The sequence below is a fragment of the Homo sapiens genome, chromosome 8 (assembly GCF_000001405.40).
Source record: "Homo sapiens chromosome 8, GRCh38.p14 Primary Assembly".
Taxonomy (NCBI): Eukaryota; Metazoa; Chordata; class Mammalia; order Primates; family Hominidae; genus Homo; species Homo sapiens.
Genome location: NC_000008.11, coordinates 91,701,279 through 91,724,236, shown reverse-complemented (window position 1 = coordinate 91,724,236; position 22,958 = coordinate 91,701,279). Strand labels below are relative to the sequence as shown.

The 22,958-nt window shown below is 36.7% G+C and overlaps 3 annotated features.

Moving 5' to 3' along the window:
* Positions 261-762: an enhancer, noted in NCBI's record as "NANOG hESC enhancer chr8:92735703-92736204 (GRCh37/hg19 assembly coordinates)". NCBI's record gives its function as "activates a minimal SCP1, AML or CMV promoter by ChIP-STARR-seq in primed H9 embryonic stem cells {active_cell/tissue: H9 hESC(primed)}" and the evidence as "EXISTENCE:reporter gene assay evidence [ECO:0000049][PMID:30033119]".
* Positions 815-1,316: an enhancer, noted in NCBI's record as "NANOG hESC enhancer chr8:92735149-92735650 (GRCh37/hg19 assembly coordinates)". NCBI's record gives its function as "activates a minimal SCP1, AML or CMV promoter by ChIP-STARR-seq in primed H9 embryonic stem cells {active_cell/tissue: H9 hESC(primed)}" and the evidence as "EXISTENCE:reporter gene assay evidence [ECO:0000049][PMID:30033119]".
* Positions 3,585-4,292: an enhancer, noted in NCBI's record as "OCT4-NANOG hESC enhancer chr8:92732173-92732880 (GRCh37/hg19 assembly coordinates)". NCBI's record gives its function as "activates a minimal SCP1, AML or CMV promoter by ChIP-STARR-seq in primed H9 embryonic stem cells {active_cell/tissue: H9 hESC(primed)}" and the evidence as "EXISTENCE:reporter gene assay evidence [ECO:0000049][PMID:30033119]".

The following is a 22,958-nucleotide window of genomic DNA, read 5'->3' as shown; positions in this document are numbered from 1 at the left end:
GTTACAATCATGTACACTTCTGTATGTCTAAAATTAAATGTATCACATGTTTAACATCTATCAGTTATCATTTAACATTAATATTCCAAATTGGCATTATTTAAATTAGCTCAAGATGGCTCCAATAGTCGCCATTTGTTGCCATTTTTATGGCATATATCTTTAAACATATATTTGTCAGTTAATATTTTGAAGCTGAGAAATCATCTAGCCATTATATATTTCTCATTTGAGCATAATGATTTTGAATTACTTTAAAATCAGATGATAAATTGGAATAATTAAACCAAAGCATTAAAATAATTGTGGGCAAAATACTTCTTTGTATTATTATTTTTTCACCCTCAAGAAATATCTTTCTATCTGACAGGAAAACGGAAGATAGTTTGGCTCAAGGCTTGGAGGAATTCAGTGAGGTTAGGCAGGAGAGGACTCCATGATTCTTGAGCCTATGCCGGTGCTCTGACCAGTGAAGGACACCCCTCCCTATGGCTCTCCTTTTAAAGAGAGACACTTCAGTGGGCACAATACAGCTCTCAGCCATGGGTTCAGGGTATTATAAGCCACAGCAGGACTCCTTTTCATCCTGCAGGGAAATAGGTTTCCATTATAACTCTCAACTCTCGGCAAGAACACAGTTAAGGACTGAATTAAGCTATTGCCCACAATTGCAAAAAATTGGATACAACGTCTTTTCGTTCCTTTTGAAGATATAATGACAATACATAAGGCTTACTTGAAGTGGAACAAATGTACTCAGCAGGCTGATGGGAGCATAAATCTGTCTGTGACAACTGTAATAGAGTTACGCAGGCTACTGCTTGTTAATCAAGAGTTTAAGTCTTAGGCTGAATAACCAAATTCTGTTGATTTTTGTTTTTGGAAGATCACATCAAAATTTAGTTTTCCACCACAGATTTGACACAGCTCATCTCCTGATTCTTTTTATCTCTCCTCATGTTTGCTCATCTTTAATGTAAATGTACCTTATGGATTGTTGAACTTTCTAGAGACTCCTGCTGTGTTGATTAATTGCTAATGAATGCTAATGAAGGAGTGAGGTGAATCTACACTATGATGTATTTAAGGGATGATTGATTAGATTTAGCACTGGCTGTCAGGAGAGTACTTACCACCAGAACAACAAGTCCATAAATATGCACGGAGTGGCTGGCAGTCTCCCTCTGTGACGCTCTCTGGCCTTTCAAGTCAAGTTCCTGGGTTCATTGCATCAGAGAAGAACTAACCTTTTAGCTTTTGTAACCAAAATACATTTTCTTATTAAGAAATATGGTAATTTTCCTAATGGGATTTAATGAAAAATTCATAATCAGTGTATATTTAATTGTTAAAATATTTGATGGAGTTTTTAAGAGATGAAATGAATTCCTAGTGAAAACAGGCTTTACCAAATACCATTGGAACCCTTGTACTTAAATAGCAAATTAACTTTACAAATATAATAATGTGTAGCAGTTGCTTAATAAATATTTTTATATTGGTTCATTTAAGAAAGGTACTATTGTCCTAAAATCAAATTCTATGACACGAATGAATTTGACACTAAAAGTGAATATCTATTTTTCCCCCCAGTCATGATCCTTATGCTTTTAGAACTTTCCTACATTTCTGGAACTTTTAAAATCTACTTGGTGGAAAAAGTACTTTCTTGAGTCCCTCTTCCCTCTTGCTGAAAATGTAACCGCCTGACGGGTTCATCTTGACCACTGCTCAGATACACTCAGTCTATCAAGACAGGGAAATTGCAATAGAGAAAAAGTGTAATAGAGGGCCCACTAAACGGAAGACCAAACTTTTATTATTACTCAAATCAGCATCCCTGAAAATTTGGAGGCTAGGGTGTTTTAAAGATGGTTTGGAAGGCAGGGGCTAGGGAATGGGTGCTGCTGATTGGTTGAGGATACAATCATAGGGGTATAGAAAATGGTCCTTGTGCACTGAGTCTGATTCCAGGTAGGGCCACAGGACTGGTTGAGTCTTGTCTTGGGTCCCAGAGGAGTCATTTGGTCCTCGGTAATGCAAAAGTCTGAATAGGCACCTTAAAAGGCCACTCTTAGGTTCTATAATAATGATGTTATAGAAATAATTGGGGAATTTACAAATCTAGTGACTTCTGCAAAAATGGCTGTTGTTTATGCCTACATCTTATCAAAATTCAGGCTCCTCTCAAAATTCTAAACATGTGGCCTTTTCTTAATTTATAAAGGCAATTTAGTTTTTAGAAGGGCTATTGTTATTTAAATTATAAACTACATTTTTCCTAAAGTTAGCTAGGCCCTCACCCAGGAATGATGAAGGGCAATTTGGAGTTAGAGGGAAGATGAAGTTTGTTAGGTCAGATCTCTTTCACTGTCATAATTTTCTCACTGTTAGAACTTTTGCAAAGGCAGTTTCAAAACAACCATGAAACAAACAAAAATGAATTGAGGGTTCAGAAATGGAATCTTGAGGAGAATAAATAAATTATAACATCCCCTTTTCCTGCCTACTTTCTGAATTATTTGAAAGATAAGATAGAAACATATCAGATGAAGAGCCCTCATTGCTCATAAAGCTGATATTGGATAATGTGATTTAGGTTTGTGGCAATAGTAGGCTTTATAATATTAGGTTGGTGAAAAAGCAAGTACGGTTTTTGCTTTTTTTTTTTGAGACGGAGTTTCGCTCTCTTTGCCCAGGCTGGAGTACGATGGTGCGATCTCGGCTCGCTGCAACCTCCACCTCCCAGGTTCAAGTGATTCTCCTGCCTCAGCCTCCCAAGTAGCTGGGATTACAGGCATGCACCATCACACCCAGCTAATTTTGTATTTTTAGTAGAGACTGGGTTTCTTCATGTTGGTCAGGCTGGTCTCGAACTCCTGACCTCAGGTGATCCACCTGCCTTAGCCTCCCAAAGTGCTAGGATTACAGGCATGAGCCACCATGCCCAGCCAGTTTTTGCCATTTGTTTACGGGAAAAACTGCAATTATTTTGCACCAACCTAATATAAACTACTAGACATAGTCTTCCAGGCACAGGGAGCATTGACAACTCTTGGTGTCCTCCAACAGGAGCCTTCTCTGTGTTTCTAGATTGTAGGAGAAAACTTGCTTCCTGTAGGCAGCTATTGCCCAAAGAAAAAGTGGGCAGCAAATGTTGAGACATGCAACCCTGATTAATCGCTCAAACATACTAATCAAATATGTCATATCTCCTACCCAAGGGAGATGACTGGGAGGTACCAAAATAAACAGGAGAATGAAGCTGCCTCCACGTGGAAGGGATTATTAGGAGGATATTTATGGGAAGAACATTACCCCAAATCAAGGAAAAATTGACATAATCTACCTCAAGCCAGTTGTAAACTAAACATAAAATTCTGGCCGGGCGCGGTGGCTCACACCTGTAATCCCGGCACTTTGGGAGGCTTAGGTGGGTGGATCACAAGGTCAGGAGATCGAGACCATCCTGGCTAACATGGTGAAACCCCATCTCTACTAAAAATACAAAAGAAATTAGCTGGGTGTGGTGGCGGGTGCCTGTGGTCCCAGCTACTTGGGAGGCTGAGACAGGAGAATGATGTGAACCCGGGAGGCGGAGCTTGCAGTGAGCGGAGATTGATCGTGCCACTGCACTCCAGCCTGGGCAACAGAGCAAGACTCTGTCTCAAAAAAAAAAAAAAAAAATTCTAAGCCCTCCAATCAACAGAATCTACCCCCTTCTCTGGGCAAAGGGGATTCCAAAGAAAACCTGAAAAACTAGTTCAGTCCATGATGGGAAGAGGGTTTTGGACATGCCCCATTCTACCCTCCTCCCTTTGGAATTTAGGCACAACAGATCACCATTAACATTAAAATAGAGATCTTAAGACTGACAAAACAGACACTTTGTAGCTATGTGATACCAAATTCCAACCTGACTTTAATATAGCATCACTTGACAGCAGCCCATGAAAGAAACTGAAGTATTTTTACCCCAAACTATATTTCTTTGACATATTTTTAAATGGTCCTGTAAAGCTGTCCCTTGTGGGGAATATCTTCATTCTGTAGAGAATCCCCTCCCCTTTTCAGGATAGATTTAACTAGGAGGCTGAAACATTTTAATGCCTGATAAAGAGGCATTTACCACCAATTCTACATAAGAAGAACCTTGGTCTCCACAACCCCTTATCTTAATCCAGACACTCCTTTCTATTGATTCTAGGTCTTTAAATAATAACTATCAACTAATGGCCAGTCAGAAAACTTTTGAATCTACCAATGACCGTTAAGACCCCCAATTTGAGCTGTCCCACCTTTCTGGACTGAACCACTGCATATCTTACATGTATTGTGTCTCCCTACAACGCAAAACCAAGCTGTAACCCAATCACTTTAGGCATATGTTCTTGGAACCTCTTGAGACTGCGCCTTGGGCCTTGGTCACTCACATTTGGCTCAGAATGAACCACTTTAAATATTTTACAGAGTTTTACTCTTTTTGTCAGCACAATTAAAACACACTTTTTAAAAAAGAGAAAATCTTTAAATATTACCATGACGGGAGAACAGATTTTCATGAAGAGTGATACCATGGACCAACAATATTAAGAATGATAATCTCAGGTGCATACATACCAGAGTTCAGAAATCTATAAACTAGAATATTCCTGGAAATGCATGTCAGGTAAAGACCAAAACAGGGAGGAGGCGGAAAGATGACACTTAAAATTTATGGGCAAGTGTTATCTACATGAGGTTAAGATGTGTAGATTTCTGACTCATAAGATATAACATATGGATTCAAACATGTAGATAATTGCTTTTTTTCTTTTCATTTAGCTATTTTGGTTTTGTGTTGTTATTCTACAGAAGACATTAATATTGCTTATTAATAACTAAATAGAGATTATGCAATTTAGAGCTGCATCCTATTTTGATGATTAGATTCAGTCAGTTGTACAATCAAATGTTTCTAAAAGTTTTACCTAGGGCACAGCTGTAATTTTCTTTTAATCCTGTAGGAGTAATTACATATTCTGTATTTAGTTGGTCGATCATGTTGCTTCAAAAGAAATAGCATATAAATTTTAGCTAATTCACTTTACAACATTTTTGCATTTATTTGCAAAGTTTATAGTGTCAACTAATAGAACTGGGCTATTGTTTGTTACAAGGAAGATTTGTAAAATACTGATCATTTTACATTTAGGTCTGTTTTAAAACCTATATTCTAAGCAATCTCTATTTCTGTTATTTTCTTTCTTGAGAAGGTCTCTCATATGGCATGTTTTGCTTTTCCATCTGTTATCTAACACTTTTATTCACAGAGTATGGCTATTTCTCTACAGCACTATGGGGGCGTAGACATGTAATTGCCACAACATTAGCATTATATTATAGATGATCATTTGGATGATGATGGGGTATTTATTTTTCAGATTAGTGGCTGAATTTCCTTTACCAAATGTTTTTAAGATCACATAGTCACTGCCTTAAGATAAGGCATTATAAATAAATATCCCTATTTTATATAATTGATCAAATTTCTCATGCATGTGTGTGTGTCTGATATCTTTTCTCATACAAACATGTGTCTATTTTTTCACTCGTTTCTCGGAGTACTTGCAGACCCTGATCTATACTTCTTTGGATCTTATCTAACTCATTTAGTATTGTGTTCTGCTACACACTTGGATCCTCATTACAGCTTAGCTTCACAAATGGGGAACTGAAATTTAATGACTTTATGGTTTAAAGTTTAGTGCCTTGTCCGTTGTTTAAATAATTAGTATTATAAGGAGGTAGAATACATCCATTTGAGAACTGTCTTAGGAGTTATTTAATGGATCATCTCCTGAAAGGACTTTTAATTGATTGCAAAAAAAATGATTAGGGTGCAAAATAAATGAAGCAGTAGAAAAGATAATGGAAAGACTGTATGCTACAGTTTAATAAAAGCTTATTCACCCTAAATTTCCCACCCTCCCCAAATAGTAATAACTACTGGAAAGGATAAGGAGTTTTGTTAATCCTGCCGGCTGGTTTTCTCAATAAGGACAAGGACAAACAGTTGTGTTATCAAACTCAAAAGGAATTCCACTATCTTGTTTTTTTAAACGTTTTTTTCTCGTTATTTTTTTGTCTTGTCAAAGATATAACCAAATATGGTTTATCACTGGGTACCCATGGATATAGATGACAACAATTGACACTGGGGACTGTGGGGAGGGAAAGAACTGAGGGGGCAATGGTTGAAAAACTAACTGTTGGCTACTATGCTCACTTCCTGGGTGATAGGTTCAGTCATACCCCAAACCTCTGCATCAAGAAGCATACCCATGTAACAAACCTGCACATGTGCCTGAATCTAAAATAAAAGTTGAAATTTTAAAAAAAGTGGGTGATCAAGCTTTTTAACAAAATGATTTTCTGTGCAAACTAGAAATAGAATAACCCATGGAGTATTCCATCTTTGTTAAGCTTTTAGGACAAATTTGAGAAACATTTAAATGTGTTTTGATTTCTATGTTTTATTATAGTATAATATATATAATCTAGAACTTACCATTTTAGCCATTTTTGAGTGTTCAGTGCTGTGGCTTTAAATACAGTCACAGCATTATGCAATCATAACCACCATTCATTTCTAGAACTTTTTCATCATTTCAAAGTGAAACTCCACACCCATTAAAGAATAATTTTTCCTTCCTTCCTCCCTCCAGCTCCCAGAAACTTCTGTTTTACTTTGTGTCTCTGTGAATTTGACTACTGTGGGTACCTGATATAAGTTGTGTTACGCAGTATTTGTCCTTTTATGTCTGACTGATTTTACTTAACATAATATCTTCAAGTTCGTCCATGTTGTATCATGTATCAGAATTTCATTCCTTTTTAAGGGTAAATAATAGTCCATTATAATATGCATATATCCCATTTTGTTTATTTATTTGTCTATCATTGAACATTTGTGTTGTTTTGACATTTTGGCTATTGTGGATAATTCTGCTATGAACATAGGTATAAAAATTTAATCCCTTTTAAAATGACTTTTGCTCTATCGATTCTTTACTTCTTCAGCTAAGACATCTCACAAAATGTTCCGTTTGGATTTTTCTCCCTGTACAATTAGTGTATATTTCCCTCTGGGTCCATCTCTACTCTTTTGTCCTGACCCGCCTCCCCTAGTAAAAAACCCCTAGTTGCCCCTGAATTGAAAACTGTGGAAGGGTATATTATACACAGACAGGACATGGAATTTTGTTAGCAGCAAAACTTGGATAACGCCTGTAATCCCTGCACTTTGGGAGGCCGAGGTGGGTGGATCACGAGGTCATGAGATCGAGACCATCCTGGCTAACACAATGAAACCCCCTCTCTACTAAAAATACAAAAAAAAAAAATTAGCCGGGCGTGGTGGCAGGCGCCTGTAGCCCTGGCTACTTGTGAGGCTGAGGCAGGAGAATGGCGTGAACCCGGGAGGCGGAGCTTGCAGTGAGCCGAGATAGCGCCACTGCACTCCAGCCTGGGCGGCAAAGCGAGACTCCGTCTCAAAAACAAAAAACAAAAAAAAACAAAAAAAAAACCTTGGATAACAAGTTTATCTCCTCATTATCCCATGTATCCCATTCTAGGGTGCTATTGTCCCAGACTTCTCATTAGCACCTCATTATTATGCTCCTCCATATATCATGTCTATTTTTAAGTTTCTCCAAAAGCCCTGCTAATAAAATGTCATGATATGAATTCTCAAGAACTTGTTATGCCATAGCATTGGAAATGTGTCTGAGATCTCTTAGAAAATGAATAGTTCAGCAATTAGCGGCCTGTAATGCCAGGTGGAACAAATAAACTGTAGTCAAGGAAAAATGACCAATGAATGCACATTAAGTTTATTTTCTTCCTTAGCTGCTTGTTAATCCCTAATTGCTAGCAGACAGGTAGGAGGATAAATTTTACAGCTATTGTCCTGGCAGAATATAATTTGAATGCCCGATTAATTATTAGTCTGTCAAGATGTTTAATTGAGATAAAGTGGCTCTTTAGTAAACTGTTGCTTTCCTGACACACAGACAAAAATTGTTTATACAAAAAAGATACACAATTCTGTGGATCCAAGGTCTAGTAATAGGCTTCACCTCACTGCTCTTTTACCCATCCCCCACTCCAAATGTAGAGCTAAAAATATATCTGAAGATCTCTGAACGGTTTCAATAATAACATCTCTAGAGACCAGGTAGGAGGATATGAATACAACCAGATGCACAGAGCTTTCTCCCCTTTCTAAATGTGACATAACCTGACAAAGACAATACTGGATCCTACCCAGATCAATTCTTCTAGAGTTGTTAATGGTGGATTTAAAAAGAAAGGCCTTCCAAAATTTCTGGGCATCTGTATTTTCTGAGAAGTTGCTGCAACATTGTTCTATTAATACTGTCAAAGGCCTGCATTAGATCAGAAAGAGCCACGTACCACAGATGGCACTTTTCACATGCCTTTTCCTGGAGCTTATGGAGAGTAAAGATCAAGTTGGCGGCAACACTTCCTCCTCTGCAGCCATGCGGGCTCTCTGGTAAAAGTGCATTTTAGCACATGAGGAAGCAGCCAGTTGAGAAAGATTCTTGCCAGAGCAGTATCAAGTGTAGATTGACAGGAGATCTCCCAAGCTATTTTCACACTCCAATCTGCCACCTTTGTCTTGTGTAGCGGCATTATAATTACAGCTTTGAATTCATTTGGCAGGATTTTATATCCCAAGAGATACAAATAATTGTTAAAGGCCTTGGGATCAAAAGGAAATATGCCATACAGGTGGTAATCTGGTCTAACCCCTCTGATTTCAGGTAGGTCAATGCCTACCACATGGAAGACTGCTCTTTTGTATCCACTTTTTAGATTATCCCTGTCCTGCTCCTACTGGAAACTGGGTAACCTATGGAACAAATTCTGGTCATTAAAGGTAAGAAAATAGAATTTTCTTTATGTCCTTCAAGATGTTTCAGTACAGCTTATAAACCTATAGTTTAGATCATTTGCTATAGGAGAAAACCTGAAATCCTTTTCAGTCACCATTCCTAAAATAATCATGACAAGAATGATTCCAGTTCTTTTTCACTTTCTTTGGTCACTTCTATCAATTGTAATTAATAAAAATAATCTACTACTACCCACTAATAGTTTACATTTAGCAGGTGCTTATTATACCAAGTTTTATGGTAAGCACTTTACTTGCATTTTCTCATTTTAAGCTACACAAAACCCTAGGGAGTCCCTGAAGATCAGAGGGTTAAAAGCTGCCCAAGGTCATAAGCACTAAGTGGCCAAGCAGTATTTGATGTAAGTAGCTTGAGTCCAAATCACACCCTCTTAGCCACTATGATTTACTGCTGATTAATAGCATAATATTTCCCGTAAACCAAACATCTTACAACTATTACAACAGTCTGTGACATTTTTCTTTTGTGAAAGTGCTCCAACGTCTACTGGACATTTCAGTCTTGTTCTACCATACATATGTTTCCTTCCATTGAACCTGTGTGTTATTTTCTTTTATTTATTTAATTTTGGCTTCTCTATGTTCTTATTGTCACCTAGGCAACTTTCTAAAGAAACCAAAGGTTTCTTATTTTACTGTTTTCTATCTCAAATGGATTCTAATGTGAATAGAATGCATAGAATTTCTGTTTACAGAATATAAATAATGTTAGGAGGATACATTTATGAATTTATAAATACTACTTTACATTTATTCTATTTGAAATGCATCCATTTTTGTGAAATATTTTTCTATTTTATAAGCAACCTTAAATTAATGTGTTATTTCCACAAATAAAAGTTGCAGAGTTTCTCAAATTTTTTTAAGTGACTGGGGGAAATAGTATGTAATTCTTGTTCTAAGATGTTAGAAAATATATTTTCCTCAGTGTAGACACAAATCTCTAGATATGTATTTATTTACTTACTTTATATTTTATTTTTTAAAATTTAGGGGGTACATCTGCAGGTTTGTTACATGGATATTTTGCATGATGCTGGAGTTTGGGCTTCTAATGATCCTGTCACTCAAGTAATGAACATAGTACTTGATAGGTGGTTTTTCAACCCTTACCTCTCTTCCTCCCTCCCTGGTTTTAGAATCCCCAGTGTTTATTGTTCCCATCTTTGTACCCATGTGTACCCAATGTTTAGCTCCCACTTATAAGTGAGAACATGTGACTAGGAATTTATAGTAATATAACCATGCACTTATGTTTCTCTGTACCCTTATTTGTTCTACATAGAAACATAGGTATATCTATCACACAGGAAAATAAATGTGTTTGATTTGCAGTCCTCTTAAATATCCATGTTTATTGCTGATCAGTACTAAGGTGGGACTTTAAAATTAATGTGTATCCGTCTTCCTAAATATATATGTTATTCTATCCCAAATTTATGTATTTTTGGAGACAACTGGTCAGAACTTAACTTGATTTTTAAGAGCAAAGAGCAGAAAAGGGTTAGAACACAGGAATGTGAGATTCCAGATCACGGAGAAGGCTGGAACAATGGAAGTCAAAGTCGAGATCTGTAAATGGCATCTATATTTTCGAATCTTTCTAAAACATGAGAAGTATGACAGCCTTTTGTGAAATTTGGGTACTTTGCCCCTGAGGAGTTTTCAGGAAGAATGACTAGTATGTTTGTGGTAAAAAGCTTTGAGTCCTTAGATAATGAAATCAGCCATACTTCTTAGGCATGTTATCAAATTCATGCTGACTTTAATACAAACTTTCTTCCTTTCTGCGTATTTATAAAATGATACTTTATCTGGTCGTTTAGCTATTGAGAAACATGTTAGAATTTTGACTCTATGCCCACACTTAGCAATTTTTCTTTTTGAAAAATACAAATGTTAGGAAAAACTAAAGTGGAAAAGTGGGATACTAAAGTTCAGACAATATTATAGTTTTCACAACGTAATATGATATCACACTTTCCTAGTACTTTGATATTACATAAGCCACTATAAGACTTTTCCTTTAAAATATCCATTTTTATTTTTATTTTATTTTTATAAGAAAAGTATGTTTCTTTAACTCATGGTTCTGAATAGTAAGAAGTCCAAGAGCACAGCACTGGCATCTGGGGATAGATAGCCTTCTTGCTGAGTCATAACGTGGTAGAGAGCATCACATGGTGAGAGGGCAAGAACATACCAACTCAGGTCTCTCTTCCTCTGCCATTTTGTTTTCAAGAGAGTAGATTTTTATTAATTTCATTTATTTTTTTCACATTGGGTGCAGTGTACACTGCTCAGGTGATGGGTGTACCAAAATCTCAGAAATCACCACTAAAGAGCTTATCCATGTAACCAAACACCAACCTGTTCCCCAAAAACTATTGCAATAATAATATTAATAAAAATATTTTAAAAAGAATTTATTTTTAATAAAATTTATTGAAATATAATTGACACTCAATAAGATGCACCCCATTTTAAGGGTGTAGTTCCATGAGATTTAACAAATGCATGCACTACCACCACCAAGTACAGAAACGCCACTCAACAATGTTTCCCCATGGCTTTTGTTCAGTTAGTCCCCTCTCTCCACCTTTGGTCTCTAGAAACCACAGATCTGCTTTATGTCATTAGACATTAGATTTCCCTTTTATAGAATTTCATATACATAGAATAAACCAGAATGTGTTTTTGGTTCAGCTTCTTTTGTTCAGCATAATGTTTTTATTTTTCATTTTTATTGCACGTATAAGTAGCTTACCTCTTTTAATACCTGAGTAATATTATGTATTATAGATATACTACAATTTTCTTACCCATTCACCTCTTGATAAACATTTAAGTTATTTATAGTTTTTGGCTAATATAAATGAAGCAGCTACAAATATTTTAATATGGCTTATAAATACACACTTTAGATCCTGTGCTACATAAGAAAACCTGAAACTCTTTATGTGGACATATACTTTAATTTATCTTGAGTAAATTCCTAGGAGTGAATTGATGGGAGGCATATTATGTTTATTTTCATTAATTTTACTGCCAAATATTTTCCAAAATTGTTTTAATATTTTACATTAACATCAGCAATGCGTGAAAGTTCCAGTAGCTCTACATCTCCTACAAAATTTTGTACTGTCAGTCTTCATAATTTTAGCCATTCCAGTGTGTGGGTGGCAGTACCTGGGTTGCAATTTGCATTTCCCTGATGCTAAGTAATGATGTTGAGTATCTTTGGCTGTGAAATGTCTGTTCAAACATTTTTCCATTTTATATTTCTTGCCTTATTATTCAGTTGTGTTATTTATTTTCAAAAAACTGGACATTCTAGAGACTTTACACTTTAATATAAAGTTGAAAACATGTTTATTAAATAAAGTTTATTAAATAAATAAGTTTATTAAATTTATACAAAAATCTGATGAGATCTTGTTAGTAATTATATTCAATCTCTATATCTATCTAGGGAAAATTAAAGTCTTAATATTTGATTAATTGAATCCATGAATATGTTTTTCTCTTCACTTTATTATGTCTATAATTTTTCTGTTCAAATTTTTATATTTTTTAATGTACAATATTTGCATATATTTGTTAAATTTTCCCTAAATATTGCATATTTTCATGCTATTGCAAATTTTAAAAATTTCTGTGTCCAGTTGTTTGTTATTAATACAGACTTAAATTAATTTTTGCATATTGACTATGCATTCTGAAACCTTGCTAAATTACCAAATAGTTCTAGTAGAATTTTAAAAAATCCTTTTTCTAACAGACATGTCATCTGTGGAACAATAGACACTTTTTCTTCTTCCTTTTCAATCTGCATATCATTACCTTCCTCCTTTTCCTCTTCCTCCTTCTTAGAATGCTTAGCCCTCCAACACAATGCTGAAAAGAAGTACTGAGAGCAAACCTCTTCGCCTTGCTTTTTATCTTAAGGGGAAAATATTCAACCTTTCTTCATTAAATATAATTTTAACAAACATTTTTCGGTAGGTATCCTTATTTTGTGTGGGAAGTTATTTACTTCTCAAGAATCGTTATCAGAAACAGTTGTTTGACTTTGTCAGTTGCTTTTTCTGTACCTATGGAGATAATATGATTTTTGTTCTTTATTAATTTATTTGGTGAATTACATTACATGATTTTTTCAGTGTTGGACTAAACTGCATTCCTGGAATAAACCCCACTTGGTCATAATGTATTGCTAAATTTTACTTTTGTAAAATATCTTTGCATTTGTGTTCATGGGAAATATTGGTCTGTAGTTTTCTTTTCTTCTGATGGCTTTGTTTTTTGACTTGGGGTAATGCTAACCTTATAAAACATAAAGGCTATTTCTCCTATTTTCATTGAAGAGTTTGTGTAGAATTGATATGCTTTCTTCTTGGAATATTTGATAGAAGTTGCCAATTGTGACATCTGTGCATAAATTTTTGTGTGTGTGGGAAGGGTTTCAACTACAAATTTAATTTATTTAATAATACAGGAATATTCAGTTTAACTATTTCTTCTTGAATTGAATGTGTCTTTCAAATAGTTTGTATATTTCTTTTTTTTTTTTTTTTAAAGACAGTCGTGCTTTGTCACCCAAGCTGGAGTGCTGTAGCCCCATTTGAGCTCACTGCAACCTCTGCCTCCCAGATCCAAACGAATCTCATGCCTCAGCCACACAAAAGTAGCTGGGATTACAGGTTTGTACCACCACATCCGGCTAATTTTTGTATTTTTAGTAGAGACAGGGTTTCACCATGTTGGCCAGGCTAGTCTTAAACTCCTGGCCTCAAGTGATCTGCCCACCTTGGCTTCTCAAAGTGCTGGGATTACAGGCATGAGCCACTATGCCTGGCCTATTTCGTCTGTTAACAAATGTATTGTCATAAGGTAGTTTATAATATTCCCTAATTCTTACAACATCTTTTGAGTCTATAGTGATGTCTTCTCTCTCATTTCTGTTAATAGTAATTTATTTCTTTTCTATTTCTCTCATTTTCTTTATCATTCTAGCTAGAGGTTCATCAGAGATACTGAGTTCTTCAGAAAACCAGTTTTTTATTTCATTGATTTCTGTATTGTATACTTGTTTTCAATTTTCTAGATTTTTGCTCCTATCTATCTTTATTATTTCTTCCTCTTCTTGTTCTGATTTATTATGTTCTTATTTTTCTAGTTTCTTGGGTGAAAAGAAGTGATTGTTTTTGAGATCTTTCTTCTCATCTAACAAAAATTCCCTCTAAGCACTGCTGTAGCTGTATCTCACAAAAATTTATGTAAAAACTTTTATTTTTGTTCATTAGAAATATTTTCTAATTTTTCTCTGATTTCTTTCTGACCCATGGGCTGTTTAGAAATGTGCTGTTTAACACACAAATATTTGGGAAACTTCCGGGTTTTTTTGGTTATTGATGTCTAGGTTAATTCTGTTGCTGTCAATTAACATACTTTGTATAAATTCAATTTTTGCGCTTAAAAATATATACTATGCCTATTAGGTCAATCTGGTTGTTCAAGCCCTTTATATTGTTATGATTTTCTCTCTGCCTATTATATTACTTGCTAATAAAGAGATGTTAATATATCCAATGATACTTTTGGATTTGTCTATTTCTCCCTTCAATTTATCAGTTTATGTTTTATGTATTTTGAAGCTCTGCTGTTGGATGCATAAACATTTAAGATTGTTATTTCTTCTTGACAAATTGACGCTTTCATCATTATATAATTATACTCTTTATATCTAGTAATATTTGTTTTTCTGAAGCCTGCTTTGTTTGATATCAATATTGCCACTCCAGTGTCATTTTGTTTCGTGTTTCTATGGTGTGTAGCTATATGCACATACACATATATATACTTTTTCTTCAACCTATGTTTGTTTGTTTTGTATTTAAAGGGTTTTCTTATAGAAGCTTATTTTGATTTTGAAAATACATTTAAAGATAAGAAAAATTCTTTATATTTACCTATATATTTATCATTTATTGGCTCTCTTTATTCCTTTTCATACCTCTAACTTTCTAGCTGGTATCATTTTCCTTCTGCTAGCAAAACTCTCTCAACATTTCTTTAACTCAGGTCTTCTGGCAATACATTTTCTCAGCTTCTGTTTGCCTGATGATATATTAATTTTGATTTTAATTTTAATAAATATTTTCAATGGATAAGGAAGTTAATTTGGCAGGATTTTTTTAGACTCTCTCTCCATTTTGTTCCGACTTGCATAGTTTTGACAGGAAGTCTGTTGTCGTTCTCATCTCTGTTTTCATGTTTGTAATGTTTCTTCTAGCAGCTTTAAATATTTTATCTTTATCACACAATTTCATTGTGGCATGCCTTGATGTGATTTTCTTCATGTTTCTTGTGTTGCTAGTTTGCTGAGCTTCTTAGACTTGTGAGTCTAAAGTTGTTATTACATTTAAAAGAATTTTGGCCAGATGTGGTGGCTCATGCCTTTAATCCCAGCACTTTGGGAGGCTGAGGCAGGCAGATCACTGAGGTCAGGAGTTTGAGACCAGCCTGGCCAACATGGTGAAACCACATCTCTACTAAAAATACAAAAATTAACTGGGTGTGGTGCCACATGCCTGTAATCCCAGCTACTTGGGAGGCTGAGGCAGGAGAATCACTTGAACCTGGGAGGCAGAGGTTGTGGTGAGCCAAGATTGCACCATTGCACTCCAGCCTGGGCAACAAGGGTGAGGCTCCATCTTAAAAAAAAGAAAAGAAAAGAAGAAAAGAAAATTAAAATAATTTTGGTCATTTGTTTAAATCTTCTGTGTTTTTTCCTGCCCACTGCCTTCCTTCTGGATATTTGGTTACAAATATATTAGAATGCTTTATGTTTTCTCATATGTCACTTTGGCTCTGATTATTCTTCTCAGTGTTTTTCTTTGTAGCTTCGGATTGAAGAGTTTCTACTGCTAAGTCCTGCAAATATAAGTTCACTGATCTGAAGCAATGGCATGAGCTATACATTGACCCCTTTTAGCCACAGCTGGAGCTGAAGTAGCTGGGTTGCAGGGCACCATGTCCTGAGGCTGCATAGAGCAGGGGGGCCCTGAGATCAGTTAATGAAACCATTTTTTCCCTCCTAGGCCTCCAGGACTGTGATTGGAGGGGCTGCTGTGAAGTTCTCTGACATGCTCTGGAGACACTTTTCCCATTGTCTTGGTGATTAACATTTGGCTTCTCATTACCTATGCAAATTTCTGCAGTCAGCTTGAATTTCTCCCCAGAAAATAGGTTTTTCTTTTCTATCACATAGTAGGCTTCAAATTTTCCAAACTTTATGCTCTGCTTCTTCTAGAATACTTGCTGCTTAGAAATTTCTTCTGCCAGACATCCTAAATTATCTCTCTCAATTCAAAGTTCCACAGAGTTCTAGAGCAGGGGGAAATGCTGCCAGTCTCTTTGATAAAGCTATAAAGAGTCACCTTTGCTTCAGTTCCCAAGTCTCTCATCTCCATCTGAGACCACCTCAGCCTGGACTTTATTGTCCATGTCACTATTAGCATTTTGGTAAAAGCCATTCCACAAATCTCTAGCAAGTTTCAAACTTTCCCACATCTTCCTGTCTTCTGAGCCCTCCAAGTCTCTAGGAAGTTCCAAACTTTCCCACATTTTCCTGTCTTCTTCCAAGCCCTTCAGATTGTTTGTTTCAGCCTCTTCCTGTTAGCCAGTACCAATGTCGCTTCCACATTTTTGGGATATCTTTACAGCAGCATCTCACTCTCTGTGATACCAATTTACTGCATTAGTTCATTCTCACGCTGCTATAAAGAACTTCCAAAGACAGGGTAATTTATAAAGGATAGAGGTTTAATTGAATCACAGTTCAGCATGGCTGGGAAGTCCTCAGGAAACTTACAATTATGGTGCAAGAGAAGCAAACACATGCTTCTTCACATGGCAGCAGGAGAGATACATGCTGAGCAAAAGAGAAAAGCCCCTTTTAAAACCATCAAGTCTCATGAGAACTCACTCACTATCAATCATGAGAACAGCATGAAGGTAACCACCCTTATGACTGAATTTCCTCCCACCAGGTCCCTCCCACAACATGCAGGGATTATGGAAACTACAATTAAAGATGATATTTGTAGGTACACAGCCAAACCGTATCAATAAATTTTTAAAATTAGCTTTTAATTTAATTCAATTTTGGTTAGAGGACATATTATACATTATTTTAACACTTTCAAAATCATAGAGACTTGTTTTATAGTCTAGCAAGCCTTCTATCTTGGTGAATATATTTTGTGCACTTGAAAATAATTAGTATTTTATGGTTGTTGGATGCAGTGTTCTATATATATTATTTAGTTCAATGTGGTTGATAGTGTTCTAAACATCTTCCATATCTCTATTATTATTATTATTATTTTGTGTGTGTGCATAGTTGTTCTATAAATTGCTGAAAGAGGTTTGTTAAGTGCCCAAATGTTTATACAATTTTTCATTTCTTCACTAAATTGTTAAGGTTTCCTTCATGTGTTTTAATGGTCCATTTTGATGCTACATATACATTTATAATTGTTGTTTTCGAGATGTTTTGATCTTTTTACCATTATTAAATGTCTTTTGTTTTCTTATATATGGTATATTTTGGTCCATCTATTTATTTTCAACTTGTCTGCATCTTCTTATTAAAAGTGAGTTTATTTTAGGTGGCATTCAGTTGAGTTTTGCTATTTTATTCATTCTTACATCTTTTTTGTTACTTCTCTCCAGTACTAGCCAAAATAATTCAGTTTATTAATAACATTAACTAGCATGGACCTGGCATTTGTTTGGGGGAGATTTTTATTAAAGCAATCTTAGATAATTTTTCATTCTTGAAATATAATCTTGTATGATTATAATTTGTGACATTTCCTGTGGGATGGTTTATATCTGCCCTGGTGAGAAGATATATTGACTAAAACCTGGGGCTTTCCATTGTTGTATTCTTCCATGCTTTTCACCAGTGCAGCACTTCTGTAAAGGCATTTGACCAATATTTTTGTGCTATATGAATAGGTACTCTGAAGAGTAGAAAAGTAATTTGGGTTTATGTCATTAACCAAGTGTCCACTGTTTCCGGGAGATTTTGAGTGAGCAAAGAAACAAAAACCAAAGCAAACAATTTTCCTTTTCATGCTGTAGAAACACAATAAGAACAAGTCCTGCTCCATTCTTTTTAATAGTCCAATTGCAGCTGCTACATCTCACAAAACTATAAGAGTCTCTAAGTACAAATCTCAATAACTTGAGACAGGTTATAGATGAAAGGAATTCAAGAATTCCCCAACCACTTTTATCATAATTCACAGATATCCTGAACTTTCAGATACCTGGCATAAAACAGAGATCTCATTTTTGTGAACTGACATAAGTAAATTTGGTCATTCAACAAATGTCAGGTCTAATAATCTCCAATCAGACCTAGGTAGGGAATATCCTTCACTACAACCTCACTATCAGATTTCTGTCTAAATTTTGCCACAAATACAAATATGTATTAATAGCCAGGCATGTATGCATGTGCACAAGAACATGCATCAGTACACAAAAACCACTCCTAACATGGTCTCATAAGTTTGGTTAACTCTCTGCTTGTTCTCTTTCTCCAGGCATTAAGATAAGCACCTTGAAAGGAAGGTTTCCTCCAAGACTGATGATATGCTGATGTCTGATCAGCCAGTATTCTGTTTGGTTAGGCTTTGGAGCCCTCCACTGAGAGAGACAGAGAGAGAGAGTGTGTGTGTGTGTGTGTGTCTGTGTGTATGCCTGCGAACCGAGTGAAACTGTAGATCTTGTACTCTGTCCTGAAGGTTCACTGAAGGAGAGTAGAGTTTATAGAATCTGGTCAAACATATATATATATATATATATATATATATATATATATAGTAAAAATATATATAAATATACATTTAAATATATATGTAAAAATATATACATGTATATTAAATATATACATGTATATATTTAATTTTATATATATATATACACACCCACACATATATGGTTGACCAGATTTTATAAACTCCACTCTCTCTCTCTCTCTCTATGTATATATATATATACACATTTTTTTTTTTTTAGACAGAATTTCACTCTTGTTACCCAGGCTGGAGTGCAATGGCACAATCTTGGCTCACTGCAACCTCCGCCTCCCAGGTTCAAGCAATTCTCCTGCCTCAGCCTCCTGAGTAGCTGGGATTACAGGCACCTGCCACCATGCCCAGCTAATTTTTTGTATTTTCAGTAGAGACAGCTAATTTTTTGTATTTTCAGTAGAGACAGGATTTCACTATGTTGGCCAGGCTGGTCTTGAACTCCTGACCTCAGACGATCCACCATCCTTAGCCTCCCAATGTGCTGGGATTACAGGCATGAGCCACCGTACCTGGCCAACCATATATCTTTTAAAAATGAACATTTACTTCATCAGTGAATATTATGTCTAACATCTCTTGCACTAATTAACAAATCCTCTGCTGATGATTTAGATAAAAGCACTTCTTATTGTCACCTCTGGATTTTTGATTCATGTACAACTAACTGCCCTGATATGGTTTGGCTCTGCGTCCCCACCCTAATCTTATCTTGACTTGTACTCCCATAATTTCCATGTGTTGTGGGAGGGGCCCTGTGGGAGATAATTGAATCATGGGGGTGGTTTCCCCTATACTGTTCTTGTGGTAGTAAATAGTCTCACAAGATCTGATGGTTTTATCAAGGGTTTCTGCTTTTGCGTCTTCCTCATTCTCTCTTTGCCTCCTGCCATCCGTGTAAGACCGAACTTGTTCCTCCTTGCCTTCCACCATGATTGTGAAGCTTCCCCAGCCATGTGGAACTGTAAGTCCAATTAAACCTCTTTCTTTTGTAAATTGCCCAGTCTCGGGTATGTCTTTATCAGCAGCATGAAAATGGACTAATACGTGCCCCTAGGGCATAAAGTTCAATTAAACACATACATACACTTTGCATTTTGAAGTAATTTTTTTAAGTAAATGCACTGACAGGATAACACTCATTCTACCACCTCCTCCTTTTGAGAGTCAAGGTAGATGTATAGAAGTTAATACTGCCAGGTGGTCTGGTGGTCTTGGGAATAAAGGCCTCCTAATTAACAACAAAAACAAAAAGCTGGCCTTGATTTTCTAAAACTTTATCTGGAGCACTAAATTCAGTTCAGGGGTCAACACTGAAGACATCTCATCAGCTGTGGGATGTTTTTCTTTTTTATGATAAGGGGACATCTTATTTCTATGCAAAGAAAGCCACAGCTTATAAATGGATTTAGTAGTCCTTTGCACACTTTGTGTTGTGTTAGTTCAGGTCCTCCTTGCAATACCTGCAAGATGGGATTAAAAGTAAAAAGAACACCTGAGGGGGAAGCAGAGCAACACTGTGGAATACAAAGCTCCATCAATCATTCCCACCACCACCACAAAGTCACCAAGTTAACAACTGTCTACACACACACAAAAAAAACCTTCTCAAGAACCAAAAATCAGCTTAGCACTCATAGTACCTAGTTTTAACTCATATGGCTGAAAGAGGCACTGAAGAGATTTAAACACACACATACACACACACACACACACACACACACACACAATAAGGGCCAAAGTCCTCTCTGTCTCTAAGTTTGAAAGGCAGTCTAGGCCATAAGGACTGCAACTCTTTGGCGAGTCTTAGTGCTGAACTAGATCCAAAGACAGTGTACTAGTGGGGTACACAGCACACTGAGACACCAGCTGGGGCAGCCAAGGGAGTGCTGGCACTACCCCTCCCATAGCTCCAGGTTGCACAGCCCATAGCTCCAAAAGGGTCTCCTTCCTTGGGCTCAAGGAGAGGAAAAGGAAGAGTGGAGAAGACTTTGTCTTTCATCTTGGATACCAGCTAAGCCATAGCAGGATAGGGCACCAGTCAGAGTCCCGAGGCCCCTATTTCAAGCTCTAGCTCCTAGACAACACTTCTAGAAACAGAAGGAAACCTTGGGCCAGAAGGAAAAGACCTAGTCCTGCAAGCATTCATTACCTGCTAACTGAAGAGCCCTTGGGCCCTGAATAACTAGCAGTGATACCCAGGCAGAACACTGAGGGCCTTGGTGAGCCTCCGAGACTTGCTAGCTTCAGGTACCAATAACACTATGGAAGGGTAGAACACCAAGCAGGCTTTTGGAGTCCCTGATTCCAGAACTTCACTCTTGGATAGCATTTCTGGACTTGCTCTGGGCCAGCAGGGACTCCATTGCCCTGAAGAGTGAGTTCCAGGCCAAGCAGCATTCACCATGAGCTTACTTAATAGCCCTTGGGGCTTAAGGAACATTGGTGGTAGTCTGGCAGTACTCCTTATGGCCAGGGTTGATCGTGGCTATGGGGTGAGGCTCCTCTGCCTTTGGAAAGAGGAAGAAAAATGGGAAAAGTTGCATCATGTGGTTTGAGAGCCATCTCAGCCACAGTACAATAGAATAACAGGTAGACTTCTAAGCTTTTTGTCTCTAGTCCCTGACTCTTAGATGACACTTCTGGACCCATCTGGGGCCTGGGGGACATTGCCACCCTGAAGGGAGAGACACAGGCCTGGCTGGCTTTGCCTTTTGCTGATTGTAGCACCTCGGGGCCTTGAGTGAACATAGGTAGTAGCCAGTGTGTGGTTACAGCAAGCCTTGGGTGGGACCCAGCACTTTTCTGGCTTCAGGTCTGACCCAGCACAGTCATAGTGGTGGTGGCGGCCAGAGGGGTGCTTATGTCACTCCACTCAGAGTGACATAGGTGGCTCAGAACAGAGAGAGAGACTATGTTTTGGAGAAAGTAAGGGAAGAGAACAAGTGTCTCTGCCTAATATTCGGAAAATTCTCTCAGATCTTGTCCAAGACCATCAAGATAGTACCTCTATAAGTCTGCAAGAACCACAGCATTACTGGGCTTGGGATGCTCCCTAAAGCACAAATAGCTTAGATCACAAAGCTAACTTTGATTATTAAGGCTTTCCAAAGTCCCTTCAAATGTCTGGAAAGCCTTCCCAAGAAGGGCAGCTGCAAATAATTTCAGACAGTGAAGACTATGGTAAATACCTAACTCTTAAATGTTCAGACACCAAAGAATATCTACTAGCATCAACATCATCCAGGAAAACATGACCTAACCGTATGAACTAAATAAGACACCAGGGATGAATTCTGGAGAAATGGGGGTATGTGATCTTTCAGGCAGAGAATTCAAAGTAGCTGTGTTGAGGAAGCTAAAGGAAATTCAAGATAAAACAGAGAAGGAATTCAGAATGCTATCAGATAAATTTAACAAAGAGATTGAAATAATTTCAAAGAATCAAGTGGAAATTCTGGAGATGAAAAATGCAACAAGCATCAGAGTCCCTTAACAGCAAAATGGATCAAGTAGAAGAAAGAACTAATGAACCTGAAGACAGACTATTTCAAAATAAACAGTCAGAGGAGACAAAAGAGAAAAGAATTAAAAAAAAAAGCCAGAGAATTTAGAAAATAGCCTCAAATGGGCAAATCTAAGAGCTATTGGTCTTAAAGAGGAGGTAGAGCAAGAGACAGGAGTAGAAAGTTTATTCAAAGGGATAGTAACAGATAACTTCCCAAACCTAGACAAAGGTATCAATATCCAAGTACAAGAAGGTTATAGAACACCTAGCAGATTTAACCTGAAGAAGAGTACTTCAAGACATTTAATAATCAAACTCTCAAAGGTCAAGGATAAAGAAAGGTTCCCAAATGTAGCAAGAGAGAAGAAACAAATAGCATACAATGGAGCTCCAACACATTTGGCAGCAGACTTTTCAGTGGAAACCTTATAGGCCAGGAGAGAGTGGCATGACATATTTAAAGTGCTGAAGAAAAAAAAAAAAACATTTACCCTAGAATATTATATTTAGCAAAATATTCTTCAAACATGAAGGAGAAATAAAGACTTTCCCAGAAAAACAAAGGTGAGGGATTTTATCAATA